Source organism: Homo sapiens, chromosome 11, assembly GCF_000001405.40.
Source record: "Homo sapiens chromosome 11, GRCh38.p14 Primary Assembly".
Classification (NCBI taxonomy): domain Eukaryota; kingdom Metazoa; phylum Chordata; class Mammalia; order Primates; family Hominidae; genus Homo; species Homo sapiens.
In genome coordinates, this window is record NC_000011.10 from 59,828,379 (window position 1) to 59,846,677 (window position 18,299).

The following is an 18,299-nucleotide window of genomic DNA, read 5'->3' on the forward strand; positions in this document are numbered from 1 at the left end:
TTGTTGCCCAGGCTGGAGTGCAATGGTGTGATCTCAGCTTATAGTAACCTCTGCCTCCTGGCTTCAAGTGGTTCTCCTCCCTCAGCCTCCCAAGTAACTGGAATTACAGGCACGTGCCACCACACCAGGCTAATATTTGTATTTTTAGTAGAGACGGGTTTCACTATGTTGGTCAGGCTGGTCTTGAACTCCTGACCTCAGGTGATCCACCTTCCTTGGCCTCCCAAACTTTTGGGATTACAGGCGTGAGCCACCACACCCGGTCATTTTAGGTCTTCTGATACAAATTTTTATATTATTCTCTAGAAAGTTTGTACCAGTGTTCACTCCTACCAGTAGAGATTACAGTTATGTTTATCTTTGAAAGCTTAATTTTTTTTCAAAGATCTATATCTATTTATCATATAAAATATATAATATGTTAAATTATATATAATCATATAACATATATTAAGTTATATATAATCATGTAAAATATATGATATATTAAATTCTGTATAATATATTGAATATAAGTTAGTTTACTAAGTACATATTAAATGATCTAAATATATATTTTAAATATGAATTTAACAAAAAAATTGGAAATGGAAGGAGAGAGTTAAGACATAACATCAATTACCAAGTTTTGAACCATCTGGGAGTTTTATATGTTGAAATGTTTGGTCATTTCATGTATACATGTATGTACATACGTGGGCATATTTACGTTAGGCAATTTGAAAAGGAGTGCTTGGTATGATAAGAAAATATGAAATTTAAAAAATATATCATTTGTAGAAATAGGGAATGTGCTATTTAATTAATCAAGAAATCAGAATGATATCCAAAAATATCAGCTACTCTCCCTTTTCCCCTCAGCTTAGGTTTAAATGATGATTGGCAGTCATTGTGTTGAGAAGATGAAAATTTTATTTTCATGAGTCATAGATGTTGAGACTCCAGTGAACTTTGCATTTTTATTCTACATAGTGGTTCTCCATGTTTTTACCAGGAATATGGTAGCATCACAGGCATTCGCTTTTTTGCATAGATTTAAAATGAAGTGGAAAAAATTTCACCCATCCTTTGGAGATGTTTGATAGAAGCTGAACCCACCTCTTCGTTAGTACTGTGTGAAATTGGCTGTGATGTGCTCGTGGTTGAAGGGTATGTAGTCAGCAACCCCTGGAAATAAGCAGAGAATAACATGAGGTGACTGTGGTGCATGTAACCACCTCCATCCCCCAAGGGATGCAGTGAGCTAGATGCAGTGAACCCATTAAATGTTTTTAAAGGAGTAAAATCATCCTAGAGAGAAATAAGCAGTTTGATTATGAAGAGAAAATGAAACTGAGATTTAGGGAGTTCTTGTTTCCAGTCTCTGGTCACCACTTCATGGAGTAAGTCTTTGGGTATACCCTTTAAGATGCGCGAGTCTCTTTTTCCTCACATACAAGATTTTGTTAATAATATTTACTCTGAAGAGTTATTTTCAAAATTAGGAATAATGACCGCTGGGTACCTAATACAGTACCTGACACAGAATAATTGTGCAATAAGTGGTGGTTATTGTTAAAATGGCTTATTTAGGCCAAAATTAGGGCATTCAAGGGAGAACTTCCTGTTCATTTTTGAAGATTTTGTAAGACATAAGAAAGAGCAGTGGGTTGAGAATTTTTGTCTTTCAGAACAGGAAAGATAGATGATGGCAATATCTGTTACCTTTCAGGTAGCTGGCAACAGAAAGAATGACAGTTTCAGGCCCAAATATTTTTGTTTCTCAGAGGCCTTTACCATTCTTTCTCCCAGGGAAGAAAAGTAATTTGTAGACATGAGAATATGCCTGATTTAAGTTCCTGGGGCAATTACTTTCTTTTTTTTTTTTTTTTTTTTTGAAACGGAGTCTCGCTCTGTCACCCAAGCTGGAGTGCAGTGGTGCAATCTCAGCTCACTGCAAGCTTCGCCTCCTGGGTTCATGCCATTCACCTGCCTCAGCCTCCCGAGTAGCTGGGACTACAGGCACCCGCCACCACGCCTGACTAATTTTTTTGTATTTTTAGTAGAGACGGGGTTTCACCATGTTAGCCAGGATGGTCTTGATCTCCTGACCTCCTGATCCGTCCGCCTTGGCCTCCCAAAGTGAATTACTTTCTTTTTAAAAAAATTCTGGGTGTTTAAAAAATTTTTAATTTTTGTGGGTACATAGTAGGTGTGTATGTTTATGGGGTATATGGGATATTTTGATAGAGACATTTCTTGGGATGAAGGTGATGGGAAAACTAATAATAATAATGATGATTAATATTTTTGAATACATGCCATGCAAAAAACATTGTACTTAATCATTCTAAGTATATTATTTCCAATCCTTACAATAACCCAATAAATGATTAATGCAATTTCCATTTTAAAGCTGTGGAAACTGGCTCACAGATTTACTACTAATATAATGCAGCTATTAAATAAGAGAAAGAGCTTCTAGCCAAGTCCTCTGTGATTCCAAGATCTTTATTATATGCTTTGCTACAACTCCACAAATTCTGACTGGCAAGATTTTGCTAAATACATGATTGATTCTAAGAAAAACATCTCCTCCACTGTAATATTGGATAATGAAGCATCTTTACCAACCTATAGCCTTGGCTGTACTGTGACTTTATTTGCCTTTACATGTCTCTGCATGGTGACAGTTAACATCAGGTTAACTAGGTAACGTCATGCTTAGACCAAAACCATACAGCAATGCTCTTTAAATTGGGGAATATTTTAATATGTGTGCAAAAGCTTTAACAAATGTTAAGGTTTTGCTGAAGTCTGAGTTTTATTCTTCCCACTTTCTCCTAATTTTTTCAGGGGAAACATGCACCAACATCCATATGCAGGCATTCCTCTCTCTGGAGATTTTTTTAAGAGAGAAGGTGAAGCATAAATTTTGAGTGAAACTTTTGTACAAAGCACATTTGTCCTAGAGTTTGGAAACCTGGGTTTGATTATCCACTTTTACATTCTAGATGCATGCCTTGTACAAGACCCTTTAATGTCTCTTAAGACTTACTTTCCTTCTCTGTGAAAAGTATTATCGCTGCCTACAGAATTAATCTCTTTCTCTATGTAATGATTATATATATATATATATATACACAAAATATATGTGTGTATACATATATAAGCAATCACTGTTTATAGAATTATTGTATATACACATGATCTCATAATTATTAATTAAGTGAATGAATGAATAAATTAAATGAAAAAATAATTAAAGAATGTAGCCTTCAGACTATGGAAGATAACGCCTATGTCTTTTCTTCCCTCACCTTCATTCAAAGGTGTTACACCACTAAGAAACTGCCAGTATGTCTTGTGATTAACATTTTCCGCGATATTGTTGATAGAAGAGACGACAAGGCCCCAAGATGTCATTGTGGTTTCAAATCTAAAAAAAAGTTTATATATGATTAACATCTCACTTTAGGTCAGGGAATAAGCGGTAAGATGAAGGGATAGAGACAGTCAATTAATTAATTAGTTAATTAATTTTTTAGAGACAAGGTGTGACTTTGTTACCCAGGCTAGTGGTGAGATCCTAGCTTATGGCAGCCTCAAAATCCTGGGCTCAAGCATCCACCCGCCAGGATAGAGACACTTTAAATGCTTCAGATAAATGCTTCAGATATTTTAAATGATATTCTCTTTTGAGCATGATTTTATCTGATAAAATGATCAGATAAAATCAAATGAGAAAATGCTTTAACCAGTTTACTATTGATGGGCATTTAGGTTGATTCCATGTCTTTGCTATTGTGAATCGTGCTGCAATGGACATGGATGGAGGCCATTATCCTTAGCAAACTAACACAGGAACAGAAAACCAAATACTGCATGTTCTTACTTATAAGTGGGAGCAAAATGATGAGAACACATGAATACACAGAGGGGAACAACACACACAGGGGCCTATCAGAGGGTACAGGTTGGGAGGAGGGACAGGATCAGGAGAAATAACTAATGGGTAGTAGAATTAATACCTGGGTGATGAAATAATCTGTACAACAAACCCCCATGACACAGTTTACCTATGTAACAAACATGCAAATGTACCCCAAACTTAAAATAAAAGTTAAGTTTAAAAAAAAGAGAAAATGGGCCAGGTGTGGCGGCTCATGCCTGCAATCCCAGCACTTTGGGAGGCTGAAGAGGGCAGATTGCTTGAGCCCAGGAGTTCGAGACCAGCCTTGGCAATATAGTGAAACCCCGTCTCTAACAAAAATACAAAAATTAGCCAGTCTCATAACCTGATCTCAAAATAAATAAATAAATAAATAAATTTTAAAAAAGCAAACATACAAATGACTAATGAATATGAAATTACTTCACTTAGAATGAAATGAAATGAAAATGAATGGATTTTGAAAACACCTATTAATAATCAAATTTAAAAAATGTAAATTCCCCCAAATGGGTAAATGATTATATGAGTGATGGAATGAATATCCAAGATTAAATATTTGGAAGCCATGAAAATATTTGTCAATAATTTTCAGTAACACAGGAAACTACTTATGCAATAACGTTAAGTGAAAATATGAGGTACAAATTTTACATGAAATATCTGTCCCATGTATATGATGGATCACACCTATTTGTAATATGCATAGAAAAAAACCTACAAAAGTTATAAAAAATATTAACAATTGTGATATTGTGTGTGGACTATAGATGATTTTTCTTCTTTTTGCTTTTTCCCTCAAAATTTCTGCTCTATGTATTTAATACATTTATAATCAGAAAAAGAAAAATTAGGCAAAATTAAAGCTAACTTCAGAGAAGTAAAGTACGGTATATTCAGAGGGTTTTAAAATTAAATATTTTTGGGCCAGACGCAGTGGCTCACGCCAGTAATCCCAGCACTTTGGGAGGCTGAGGTGGGTGGATCACCTGAGGTCTGGAGTTCAAGACCAGCCTGGCCAACATGCTGAAACCCCATCTCTACTGAAAATACAAAAATTAGCAGGGCATCGTGGCGGGTGCCTATAATCCCAGCTACTCAGGAGGCTGAGGTAGGAGAATCACTTGAACCCGGGAGGTGGGGGTTGCAGTGAGCCGAGATCGCGCCATTGCATTCCAGCCTGGGTGACAAGAGCAAAACTCTGTCTCAAAAAAAAAAAAAAAATTAAATAGTTTTGAAGTGCAATTTTTATCCTGACCTGTCTATGGAAGTTAGGGAAGTTATGGAGTCGTGCAGTAAGCAGCAGACACAATGTGCTCAACAGAACCGGGTGGAATAGATACCCACGTGGTATCACTCAGTTGTCAATTCCTTAGCCTTTGTCAGTATTCCTTCTTGATATCTTCCTGAAGAATTTGGATCATCTTTTCTTTGAAAAAGAAAAGATGCTTTTTTCCTTTCCATGACTTGGCATTTTTCCTCCTCTCCTCCTATAGCTTAGACTTCTCCATGTTTCTTTACTGCTTCCTCTTTTTGCAAACTATAAACATGCCCTAAAAGTTAATTTTCTCCTCTGTGATTTATTTCTGTATTTTCCCCTACCTTGAGAGGGGCATGGAAAGAACATGAGCATCAGATTCAGTCCAACCTGGGTTCCACTCTCAACTCTATTAGTTACATGTTATGTGATCTTAGGAATGTTACTAACTTCTTTGGGCCTAAGGGTTCTATCTGTAAAATGAGAATAACTAAATATGTCTTATGGTTTTATTGGGTGCAAGTATCTGCTATCTACTGCATGGGTTCTTGACTTAGGTCATCACCTCTAAGAGATGACTGTCCAATTTATTTTTTGCATGTCCTGACCTCTTTTCCTAGTACTTCCTCTATGCCTCCAAAAGCCTGCCTTTCTGTTTCTTTCTTTCTTTCTTTTTCTTTCTTTCTTTCTTTCTTTCTTTCTTTCTTTCTTTCTTTCTTTCTTTCTTTCTTTCTTTCTTTCTTTCTTCCTTCCTTCCTTCCTTCCTTCCTTTTTCTTTCTTTCTCTTTCTTTCTCTCTCTCAATTCCTTCTTTCCTTCCTTTTTTTTGTTTTTTTTTTTTTTGAGACAGAGTCTCACTCTGTCTCCCAGGCTGGAGAGCAGTGGGCACGATCTTGGCTCACTGCAACCTCCACCTCCCAGGCTCAAGCAATCTTCCCGTCTCAACCTCCTGGGTAGCTGGGACCACAGGCACGCACCACCACGCCTGGCTAATTTTTGTACTTTTAGTAGAGATGAGGTTTCGCCATGTTGGCCAGGCTAGTCTCGAACTCCTACCCTCAACTGATCCACCCGCCTCAGCTTCCAAAGTGCTGTAATTACAGGCATGAGCCACTGTGCCTGGACTATACCGCCAAAAGCCTTCTAATGTTCCTATTTCAAATGCCTACCATTAAACATATCTAAGGAATTTAATCCTTTTCTTTGAAAGATATTCTTTCTTCTTGACCCTTTAATCAATAGTTTTGAAGCTTCTTTCTCTTGACCTCTATGTCCCATCACTCACAGAGCCTTGGTGTGGGTCCGTGTATCCCAGAGGAAGTCATCGTCACTTCACACCTCCATTATTGGAGTCATGTCCTATGTTTTAGCCTTGTCTCCTATTCTCACGACCTAAGCAACATTTTACCAAGTGGATTTTCTTACTCAAAAACTTGCAAAATGAAGTTCAGTCTCCTGAACCTGGTATTTCAAGACTTTTACACTGTCACCCAACCTGGTATGTCCACCTGGCCTATTCATTGGCCCCAAATTCCTTGCTCAGTCTTATCGCAAATGCTTTGTTCTGGCCATTTCTTTTCCTTTTTTTTTTTTTTTGAGATGAAGTTTTGCTCTTGTTGCCCAGGCTGGGGTGCAATGGCATGATCTCGGCTCACCGCAACCTCCGTCTCCCAGGTTCAAGCGATTCTCCTGCCTCAGCCTCCCGAGTAGATGGGATTACAGGCACGTGCCACCACGCCTGGCTAATTTTGTGTTTTTAGTAGAGACGGGGTTTCACCATGTTGGTGAAACTCCTGAGCTAAGATGATCCGCATGCCTCAGCCTCCCAAAGTGCTGGGATTACAGGCGTGGGCCTCCCAAAGTGTTGGGATTACAGGCATGAGCCACTACGCCCGGCCTGTTCTGGCCATTTCTTTTTCTGGACTTACCTCTTCCCACATCTTCCTAAATAGTACCTATTCTTTGTGTTTCAAAGCTACAAAGTCTCTTTTGCCTGTTCTACTCTGCAATGGACTTTCGAATCTCCTCTGAATTTTTGTTTTTAAAACTTCATCATATGTTGACTTATATGATTTAAGTTTTCATGAGAGCCTTACCTATTTATTAGATTGAAAGCTGCTCAAGCGCTATTAAATAAAAATCTGTTATCAAAAGGAAAAAAATTAGGAAAACAGGATGGATAAAAAATGGGAATTCAGATCAGGCCTTGAGAGAATGATGAATGACATTTGTAATACTCACTTGAACATAGGATTTTTGCGCTGTGCTTCCTCTAGGACAACAAGTAACACTGACCCACTTTTCACACTAACATTGATGGTCTCGTTGAAGAGCAGCTCAACCCCCCTCAGCTGGTTATTTATGGTGTATATGACAGTGATGTTAGATGCAGAGGTGGGGCCAGGGCCAGGGTTGCTGGGTAGAGTTGGTTGTACCTCATGATCTGTGAAGGGCAAAGAGGCCACATTTGTCAAAGATTATGGGGTTTGTATCATAGGTGCAAAATCTCTGTTATTGGCAACTTACCCCAGAAGACATTTTGAGAAAGTAGTGAGTTTCATACCATTTAACAAAGTACTTGGACAACTAGCATAGAATTCCGGCAAAAACTCCATGGCCACCTTGTTAAGGTTGGGACATCACTGGGAAGCAGCCTAAGGGGTTGAGTGAATGTGGTAGTTTTTGGTAGGATTGGGATCAGTTTGCTTGATTTTGGTCTCCACATTCTGCATTGAGATAGACGAGAAACTTATTAATTGCTTCTTGTCTTAGGAAGTTCATGCAATGCAAGAGGAATGATGCTTTGTGTTAGCATTTTATTAAAAAAAAAGAGTTTGAGGAATCCATACCAAACACTAGTAATCTCTGGAGTAATAAGTTTTTATGCAAGACCTCCACTTTCCAAATGCATATTTCTGTAATGTTTGAATTTTTAGTGTCTTTCAATTATATGCATAATTGGATAAAATAAAGATATTTTTAATTAAAAAGTGGCATGCTAGGTTTCCACTCCATCTCATTGATATATTGCGTGCATCGAGCTTTCATATTTAGATCGTTAAGGCTCGATTTAAATATGAATTCTGTTCTTCTCTGAAGCCTCCCAAACAAAATCAACAACTGGTCACTATTTTTCTTTTTGGCATTTGCACTGTGTGTGGCTTTAACTTCTATTTAATACTTACTCGATTGTCCCAAATATTGTAGTTTTTGTTTACACATCTGTCTTCTGACTTTGTGAAAGGCAGATATGATAAGATATGCATAGTGTTTGATGGTACATTTGTGAAATGAATAAATGAAGCTATATGTTGTTTGATAGCTGGGACCATGGAGCTTCTTCTACCTCTAGTATCCCACAAAATGCTTTGCACATAGTAGGAGCTAGGTAAATATATGCTGAATGAAGTAGATATGGGGCTGAGTTCTGAGTGCAGGAAGGTATGTCTGTGTGCTAGCACACACTCTTAAGGACTGGGAGTCAGATGTACTCTGCCCACATGGGAATAATGGACATTACAAGCCTATATGCCACTTAACATTGATCCACATGTCATTTCTGGCATAAGTTGCTGCTTTATGACATAAGGAGAGGTGGATGTCTTACCAGGACTACAAGTGACCTGGGGCACATCTAGGTATGTCTTGCCTTTCAGGGAAGGGAGGATTTGAGCAATGGACATGGGGTTGTGGAATTTCCCCTGCTTAATCTCATTGAGTATCATATCCGTAGTCTTCTTGCAGTTCCATTCCTTTTTAGATGGCTCAGGTGTTACAGAGAGAGCCTGGGAAGGAAGACAGAAAGAGAGAGAAAGAGTAATTAGGCATAGCTGAGAGTTGGCTCTTACATGTCTTAAGAGATAAACTTGATCACTAATCATGGTGATCACGTAGTCACCCAGAATGCAAAGCCAATGCTATGTAAGGTTTGGAAAACATTTGTCTTCAATGCTATGTCCCCACCACTTAGCACAGTGTCTGTCAGACAGCAGACACAGAACTGTGCAATGATCAGATCCAGGGAACACTATTAGGCAGTCATATTTACGAACGACTCTTGAATGTAGAGTGAGGGTGAGAGCTGGGCTCCAGAGGGAGCTTTAGCCTAGGACAGTCTAGCCACATAAACGGAGTAGACCCCTTGTTTCATATTGCCATGTGCCCTCTTTGATGGACTTTTCCCTCACTTTGTGCTTGTGTCAGGACTCTCAGAGGCTCCACAACCCTGGCCCAGGATGGACTCATGACCTGGACTGGGCTGATGGTGGTCACCATCCCCTTGATGACAGTGATTGGTGGACACATGTACTAATCAGAATCATTCCCCGACATACAGACATTGGGACACCCAAAGATTTTTTTTTCCTGCTAAGGTTATTCAACTGGGACCATGCAAATAAACGGTAAGCTGCTAGTGACCATCTTTCTCAGCCACTTTGAAGAAGCCCTGCAGCAGGAAAGAATGAGGAAAATCAGGGCTGGACGATGAAAAAAGAGTGGCTCCTGATATCATGATTTGAGCCCTTTATTCTGGTTATTCCTGAAACCACCTAATTCAGCCCTAGACTTCCCAGTGTATGTGAATAGTAAATCCTCATTTTTTTCTTGAGCTAAAAGGATTTGGGTTTCTGTTACTTGCAAAATGAGTCTTGAGTAATACACCAAGCCATTCAGCCATTCACCTATTTTGCTGCGTTATCTATCGCATGAATAAAATAGAAATAATAACTTCTGTCTATTGTTGGGGGAGTCATTTGCGGTTCCAAGGGGCTAATGTATAAAAGCATTTCGTGATGTGTGATGTGTGATGTGGAAGCTGTCATTACCACCTCCCTTCCTTTACAGTGCGATTATGGCCACCAGAGCATGTTAATAGGCTGAGATTGTTAATGACTGGTTCACCTGAAGCTTGGAATAGGAAATGGGAGAAGAGAGAGAGAGGAGTCAGAAACGGCTGTCTCAGCTAGGGTCAGTATGCACAACTGGGCAGTTGTGACAGGGACAACCATCACTGAACCTCAGCATCTATGAAGCATGGCTCTGGACAGAGGCCACTTTACAAGGCAGTTGCTTTAAGGGCCATCAGGTGGGTGCTCCTCAGCAACAATATCTTGTCCACTTGTCATATGCACCTCCCAAATTTCACTAAGCAAGGTATATTCATTGGGATTACACATCACCAATGCCAACACTCTAGAGAGGATAACACATTAAGTGGTTAGACGTCATTAATAACTTTCCATCAAGAAGTTTATCAGTTCTCTTTTTCTTTTCTTTCTTTCTTTTTTTTTTTTTTTTTTGAGATGGAGTCTCGCTGTGATGCCCAGGCTGGAGTGCATTGGTGCAATCTTGGCTCACTGCAACCTCCGTCTCCCGGGTTCAAGTGATTCTCCTGCCTCAGCCTCCTGAGCAGCTGGGATTATAGGTGCCTGCCAGCACACCAGGCTAATTTTTGTATTTTTAGTAGAGATGGGGTTTCACCATATTGGCCAGGCTGGTCTTGAACTCCTGACCCCAAGTGATCTGCCCGCCTCGTCCTCCCAAAGTGCTGGGATTACAGGTGTGAGCCATCACGCCTGGCCTATCAGATCCCTTTTCAAGATAAGCGCCTATCAGAGGAAACTTGAAAGCAATAGGATATTCATGGAAGAAAGATGAGAAGTTCTGGAACAGAGGAAATGCCTCATGAGCGTCTTTGGGTAGGGAAGAGTGTGGCCTGGGCCACTGGAAGTGTACTGACATCTTGGAAGAAGGTGAACAAAGGCTGAAAAGGAACTTTACTAGCATCACTGCTCTGCTGAGACAGATCTTGAACAATTGTTAAGCATTACATTATGCATGCATTTTTTTGCATACCACATTTTATTTAACCTAATTGCAACCTTATTATTATGGGGAAAATAAAATCTGGGGAAATTCAATATTTGTCTGAGATGGTGGCAGGTGTGGGAGTCAAACCTAAATTGTGATAGTTCCAGAGCCCTTTGATTTTCTATATCAGAATATTTTAGATTAGGAAAATATTATATATTAGACACCTATTGATTCCAGATTTCAGGATGCCTAAATAAGTTCCAGATAGAGGCAGTAAAAAGGGTAGGGAGAGATTATGTATTCTGACAAGAAATCCACATGGCCTGTGGTATTTGGATGTAGACAGGGTCCTGCCTTTTGATAGGAAAAGCTCTAATTCCCAGGTACAGCTTATCAAAGTGTACTTGGCAGGTGATAAAATCCAAACAGAATTCACAAACCAAGTTAGCAAAAGTAAACACTTCACTGTCTGGTGATAAATTGAAGCAAGGTTATTTTTAGAGAGTCACACATAAAAAAAAAAAATCCCCAAACCATCTTTTATATCTCTTCCAGACTGCCTTTTTCTTTCCAAAAAGCTTCTAGACCAGAGCACTGGGAATGTTCTTGTAAAATTCAGCCATGGAAAAAACAGGGTTTTGTTCTATGACAAAGTCTCCTTGACTGTGACATAGAAATGAACTCTATTTTTATTAGTCACTTCTATATGTGGTCCATTGAAGTGGAAATTTTTTTTTTTTTGCTCTTATGTTTAACATGAACCAATTCTTAGGCTGCTTATATCCTTTTCTAATTTTTAATGTATGAAATCTCAATACTAGTCTCCATTGTTTTCCCCAGGAGACAATTTCTTTCTAATAGTCCGCAACTATGTTAGGTTTAGGGCTGGCATCACCATTCCATGATTCTCCCTTTAGTGGGCTTTCTGAGTTGAAGAGTCCCTGGTCCTATTAATCCCCATAGGACATTTTGAGACACTGGAGCTCAAACTTCTTAGTTGGGATTAGAGGATTCAGCCACAGATGGTTGCTAGTTTCTGATTCTAGTTGGTTATTTCTGCCCACCACCATTGGTGCATCTGTCTTCTATGGAGGCTGCTGCCCTAATCAACTAGGGTAGGGTGGGTTGTTGGATTTGGAACTATGAATACCAAACACATCTTACAGAATCCAAGCCTGGGAATGCATGCTGTGAAAGCACAGAATTGAATATGGACTTGGCTGACAGATAGATCTGCTTTACCATTTACTATGGGTTTTTGTGAGGCTGGGTCAACTTTAGGTTATTTTCCTTAATCATTTTGAGTATAAACTTGCTATTTTTAGATCAAGGTAAAACACTGAAAAAGAACACTTGGCTGGTAAGATTGCATCAGAAAATTGTATATTTTTAGAGGGCCTGCTTTAATATTCTTATTATTTATACATCAAAATTGTAATAGTCTGTAACTATTACAAATAAACTGATCATTATTAATAATAAATTAATATATTTCTTGATTTATTTGTTTCATTTTTTTTCCCAAGAAAGAGAAACAAGTTCATATAGATTTGTTTTCACACTTTACATAGGAGGTAGGGAGGAATTAACACTTACCTGCATTTTACCAGTAGAGAAACTGAGGCCCAGGCACCACAAAGAATATATCTCAGGTCATACTAGCTGGACTTTCACAGAGATGTTAGTAGAAGCCTGGCCTCTTGATTCTGCAATCCAGGCTTATTGGCAGGAACCCAACCAAGAGCATCCAGCACGTGTTTACCTGCATGGCGAGGCCAGTACTGTAGATGTCTCCAATGATGCCATTATCTTTGATCTTCATGCTGATTTTCTCCACAATATCCTTTAGTACCTGACCAAACAGGGATCTGTAACCTTCCTCTGAACCTACAGGGATCTTGTTGTACATACAGGTCAGAGCCAAGGTTGCCATTGCTCCTGTGTCTGTGAATGACAGAGGGTATAAGATCACCATAGTCACCATCACAGCAATATGAACAGCTAACATTTATTGTGTGCTTATTATATTCTGGCTCCATGATTTTATTTGCTCCTCAGAACAACCTGTGAAACAGTACCTGTAATCATCTCCATTTAAGAGACAAAAAATGGAGGCTCAGAAAAATTAAGTAAGCAGCAGGGCCAAATCTCCATTTGAAAGTTGCATAACTTCGTTAAGGGTGCTAGTGTTACTGACAACCAGAAGTAAATAAGTCCAAATTTTTGGAGGCAGAGATGCCCCAGAAATGTGTGAGGTCCCAGATGTGAAAGGGAGACCAGTCTGTTCTTAACCCCCAGGGAGGATCCTAGAGCAGTGGTTCACCTGTTTGTCTGACAGAAACTGAAACAAGAGAGGTTGCTGATGGGGCATGCATAAGGGAGTGAAAACCTGAGATAATACTATTGCTTAGAGAGTTGGCAGAGGAGAAAAGGTGATCATGAATGCGGGCTGTGACAGTGGCCCCCACAGAGAAGGATCATTATCCATAGAAGGGGACAGAAGGAGGACATGATGTTGTAGAGGGAAAAGCTTCTATTCACAAGCAGCCATATGCTTGCAGAACAAAGACGCAAGGTGGTCCCCGAGTTGCCATGAAGGGAAATATCACGAGTTAGGGTTCCGAGAGTAGCTGTTTAATGGAGAGAGGATATTTGGATGTAATGAGGAGAAGCATCGAAAAGAATGGAGTGTGGGAGCATCAGTAGTGATTAAAGAGAGGATGCAGAGGAGAACTGAAGCAAGACATTCATATTTAATTTGGGAAGAACTTCTGACTTGAATGGCATTACTATTGTTCCCAGCGGAGATTCTGTAGCTGCCAGACATATCAAGTATTATCAATTGTCCTTGTTTCTACATAATACTACCCCCTCTTCCTTCACTTACTCCTCAATTCACCTGCCCAACAAACATCTGGTAAATATCTCCCATCCACAGGCACGTTCACATCCTTAGCTCCTCCTCCATGGGACGCTCTCCTTTGTCACTTCCCTGCCAGCTCCACCATTCAGTTCACGATGCCTCTGATGTTCCCAGCTCGGGGTAGTGGTGACCTACTCACCTACATTGAAGGGAGAGGAGTTGGCCAGCAGGGTCTTGGCAAAGCGGACGGCTATCGGCAAGGTCGCCTCAGAGTTCTTCTGGCACAGTGCCAAGATCGCTAGACTGGGCCCATAGAAGGCTGATGCTTCAGCGTTGGGGCCTCCGAAGGGGATAGAGAACCTTCATCAGACTCACAGTCACCACGATGAGGACATTTGCAAAGAAGGAAAAGCCAAGCCTTTGAAAAGGAAATTGCTAGAAAACCTGCCCCCAAAGAGAGACACAGCATAGGCAAAGAGCAACTTCAGTGTTTTTCAAAAGAATGTCATCAGGCATCTGCAAAGAATAAAAGGGATGACTCTGTGTCTTTAGACAGGTGATGGCTGGACAAGCTTGTGTCCTTGGGATCATGACCTTTTCTAGTTCATTTTGGATTGGAAATGAATCTTTCTGGTCTGGATTATCAGAAGGACCAGAGTGAAGGATACATTGTCTCTTCCCTAACTTGCCTTTCTCTCCACCCCCACCCTTTTCCTTTCTGGGTTTAAAATTCTTAGGTAAAACCATATGCCTGACTCTTTTCTCCCTTCCAGTCAGGTCTTACTGGAAGGTGCCCAGTTCTCCATTTGTCTTTGTAGAATGGATACTTTATCCCCAGGGTCTCGGCAGGAGGAGGTGAGGGCCATGATGGTGAGGCCGAGCTGCCCAATGGTTAGATCTGCAGAGAAGAGAACACAACGGTTAGACAGAGACATCCTCAGGGGACAGCTCTCCAGGAGCCAGTGATGAGTTCTCTGCTTTTTATCTAGAGCATTTTGACTTTTTAATAATATGAGCAGTTCTTTGATCTGTCTTTCCAAAGAAAAAAATATGGAAGAATACGTAAGGGAATATTTAATCTAGTGGCCTCTGTGTAACTTGATGACTCTAGTATTTGGTATTTGAGAATCCCTGGTATTTGATTAGAAAAGCAGCAAAATACTCATATAGATTTATATACAGAAATTTACAGTTGCAAAATAATTTAAACTTTATCTAACTTGAGCCTGCAGGCAGCTCCTGGGAGATAGGCAGAACAGAGATTTTATTATTATTATCATTGCTATTAGTAGTAGTAGGGTTATTGTTACTACAATCATCTGCAAGGTGAGGCTGAGCAGTATCCAGTGACTTGTCTCAGATCCCAGAGTTATGACGTGGCAGAGCCAGAACCAGAAGGCTGCTCTTTCGACGTCTAGTCCAGAGCTCTCCCTGCTTTACTGACCTCCTCCATGAATGCTCTGACTTCACACATGTTTCTTTCCAGGTACCTTCCAGGTATGTAAGGAAAGGTGTTTGGGTAGTTTATTTACAGTCAGAGGCAGCATTGGGGTGGGAAGGACGCTGAGTTGGAATCTGGAGGTGGTATGTGATGTGTGAGATTCAGGGAGAGTGCGAGCGGCTCAGATGTCTCACCGTTGTTGTCGCTGGACATGAGCTGGTAAGTCAGGAGCTTCTGGGCCTTCAAGTTGTAGGCTCCGGCCAGATTCATGGCAATCAGGATGCTGGGGTTTGGGTAGGCTGATGAAGTCACCGAGTTCTCCATGAGTACTTGTATTCCATTGACCAAGGGCTCCTGTGCTGAGGGAACGGCTGAGAAGAGGAAAGCCATTTACTCACCTTCTAACCCTCATTCCTTCTCAAAAACATTATCCCCGTGTCTTTGATGCTTTTTCTTTCTTTCTTTTTTTTTTGAGACAGTGTTACTCTTGTTGCCCAGGCTAGAGTGCAATGGCACGATCTCGGCTCACTGCAAACTCTGCCTCCCAGGTTCAAGTGATTCTCCTGCCTCAGCTTCCTGAGTAGCTGGGATTACAGGTGTGCACCACCACGCCAGGCTAATTTTTGTATTTTTAGTAGAGATGGGGTTTCACCATGTTGGCCAGGGTAGTCTCGAATTTCTGACCTCAGGTAATCCACCCTTCTTGGCCTCCCAAAGTGCTGGGATTACAGGCGTGAGCCACCTCGCCTGGCCATCTTTGATGCCTTTTAGGAGAACACTTGATTAGCATTAGTGTCCTAAGTCACTAAAGAGAAATGGAGAAAATGGTGAGATTTTACTTTTGAGGACAATTAGTTTCTACATCTTCTCAAATAATCCATATCCTTAAGAAAGTGATTTTTAAATTTAGTAACTTCAAGCAATATGGCTCATGACATTTCTCATAGTTTCTATCACTTTCCTGGAAATCACTGATTTCCTTGCATTCATTTTTTTCCTTACTCTTTCATGAAGAGTATTAAAGATTTGGGATATAATTTATCCTCAGTGAGTACCAAAATCTCTCACTAGTATGTAGTGGTGTCTGGTCACAATAGCCACTGAGTGTCTGTCTTTGTACCATCAACCATTATTCCTGCAGTAGTACTTCCATCTCTATTATTTTTATTTATTGATTTTTTGAGACAGGGTGCTGCTGTGTCATCTAGGCTGGAGTGCAGTGGTGTGATTATAGCTCACTGCAGCCTCGACCTCCTGGGCTCAAGCGATTCTCCTACCTCAGCTTTCTGAGTAGCTGGGACCACAGGTGCATGCCACTGCGCCCAGCTAATTTTTTATTTTTATTTATTTATTTTTTTTGTAGAGATGGAGTCTCACCATGTTGCCCAGGCTGGTCTTGAACTCTTGGGCTCAAGCAATCCTCCTGCTTCAGTCTCCCAAAGTGCTGGGATTACAGGTGTGAGCCACTGCACCTGGCCCCATCTCTCTTAATAAAAAACATATAGACTTGTCTCTCAAAGAACTTATGCTATTAAGTCAGGAAGGATGAACAGCACACAATCACACTCAGACTTACCCATTTTGGAATTCCTATAGTGATTGCTATTTTCAACCACTCAGTGTCAGAGGTCACAGCCCCTTCCCCAGGGCAACTGCTTCCCTGACCTCCTTGGAAAAACATCATACTCACAGCATGAACTCTGGGTCTGGGTACTAGTCCCAGCTGTAGCCCAGAGAAGGCTCAGGAGGTAGAGGGCAAACCAGGCCATCTCACTCTCTCGTCTATGTCTCTCATCCACAGGTACCGCGATTTGCAAGTGGAATATTTCTTTACCTTCTCTTATATGTGCTTCCCTTTGTTAAATAATCTGTCCCCAACCCAGCCTCTCCTAACTGCCCCTGTGCTGACCTCTCCTTTCCTGATACAAGTAAGTAAATTTTCATTTGCTTATCTAAGTTTACCGACTATAGACCCTCCAAGGTGTCTGAAGGTGACTTCTAGGTTGCACAGTCATATGAGAAACCTGGGGCTGGGTATGCAGTGAAGGCAATGTTGAGAAAATGTCCTTTACCAAAGGCCTGGGTCAGACATCAGGAAGTTTGGATAATGTGCTAGTATCAACAAGACCTCTTCTAGCCCTTATTGTATCCAATCAGTTACCAGGCTGCTTTTTAGTAACTACTTCACTGGGATTTAGGCCATTCATAGGCATCAGCTCATTTTATGATCCTAGACACCTGCTTTACAACATGTCCTTTTAGGCTCTCAGGCAGGGATCTGCCAGGTGACATCTGGCTTTGTGAAATTAATGATGTCTACCTGGACCTGGATTCTAGCCTAGACTCTTTGAAGTTGTTTGACTTTAGGCAAGAAATGGACCTCGGTTTCCCAGAAATGGTTTTGTTTGATTTCTCTTTCCTTATCTGGAGATAAAAGCCATCTCAAACACCCAAAGCTTTCAGATATTATCTTTTAAAGTAAGTAATTAGAAAATGTGAGATCCATTAAGAATACATATTTCAGATGTGTAGCTACATTATAATGCAAATTATACTTCTTTATAAGGGAGAACTGAAAATGGTATGTTGAAATTATAAAGAAAGGAGTTTTGTTTGTTTTTTTCCTGCATGTAAAGTAGCTCATTTTAAGGGGATATTCTCCAGTGGCGCCCATCTTAGCATAAAAGTCAAAGCCCTTTTCATGACCTATAAGACCTTAGAAGATCTGGCTCCTGGTTTCCTTTCTGACCTCAGCTCCAGGCGTTTTCCCCTTTGCTCACACCGCTCCCATCACACAGAACTTCTTGTGCCCCTTGAACACATCAGCTACCTTTGCACATGATGTCCCCCTCAGCCCAGGACCCTCTTCTTTTAAATAGCCTCATGGTGGCTTCCTCACATCCTTCATGTCTCTGCTCAGAGGTAAGCTTTTAGAGACGCCTTCCCAGGCCACCCTACATAAGATCCTACATCCTCACCTCCACTGACACCCC

General features: G+C 40.5%; 1 protein-coding gene across 2 annotated transcripts; it reads right to left on the minus strand.

The window, feature by feature from the left end:
• Positions 895-17,121, minus strand: CBLIF (cobalamin binding intrinsic factor). Of its 2 annotated transcripts, none has more exons than XM_011544939.4 (9): positions 16,997-17,121; positions 15,501-15,677; positions 14,650-14,763; positions 14,065-14,205; positions 12,765-12,946; positions 8,838-8,973; positions 7,430-7,631; positions 3,300-3,418; positions 895-1,167 (listed from the first exon to the last, which is right to left on the minus strand). In XM_011544939.4, exons 1-9 carry the CDS (start codon positions 17,073-17,075, stop codon positions 1,106-1,108), a joined length of 1,212 nt encoding a protein of 403 aa, XP_011543241.1. In that variant the 5' UTR covers positions 17,076-17,121; the 3' UTR covers positions 895-1,105. The 2 variants fall into 2 exon arrangements, with proteins under 2 accessions (XP_011543241.1, NP_005133.2); NM_005142.3 differs by having other exon boundaries at positions 8,796-8,973.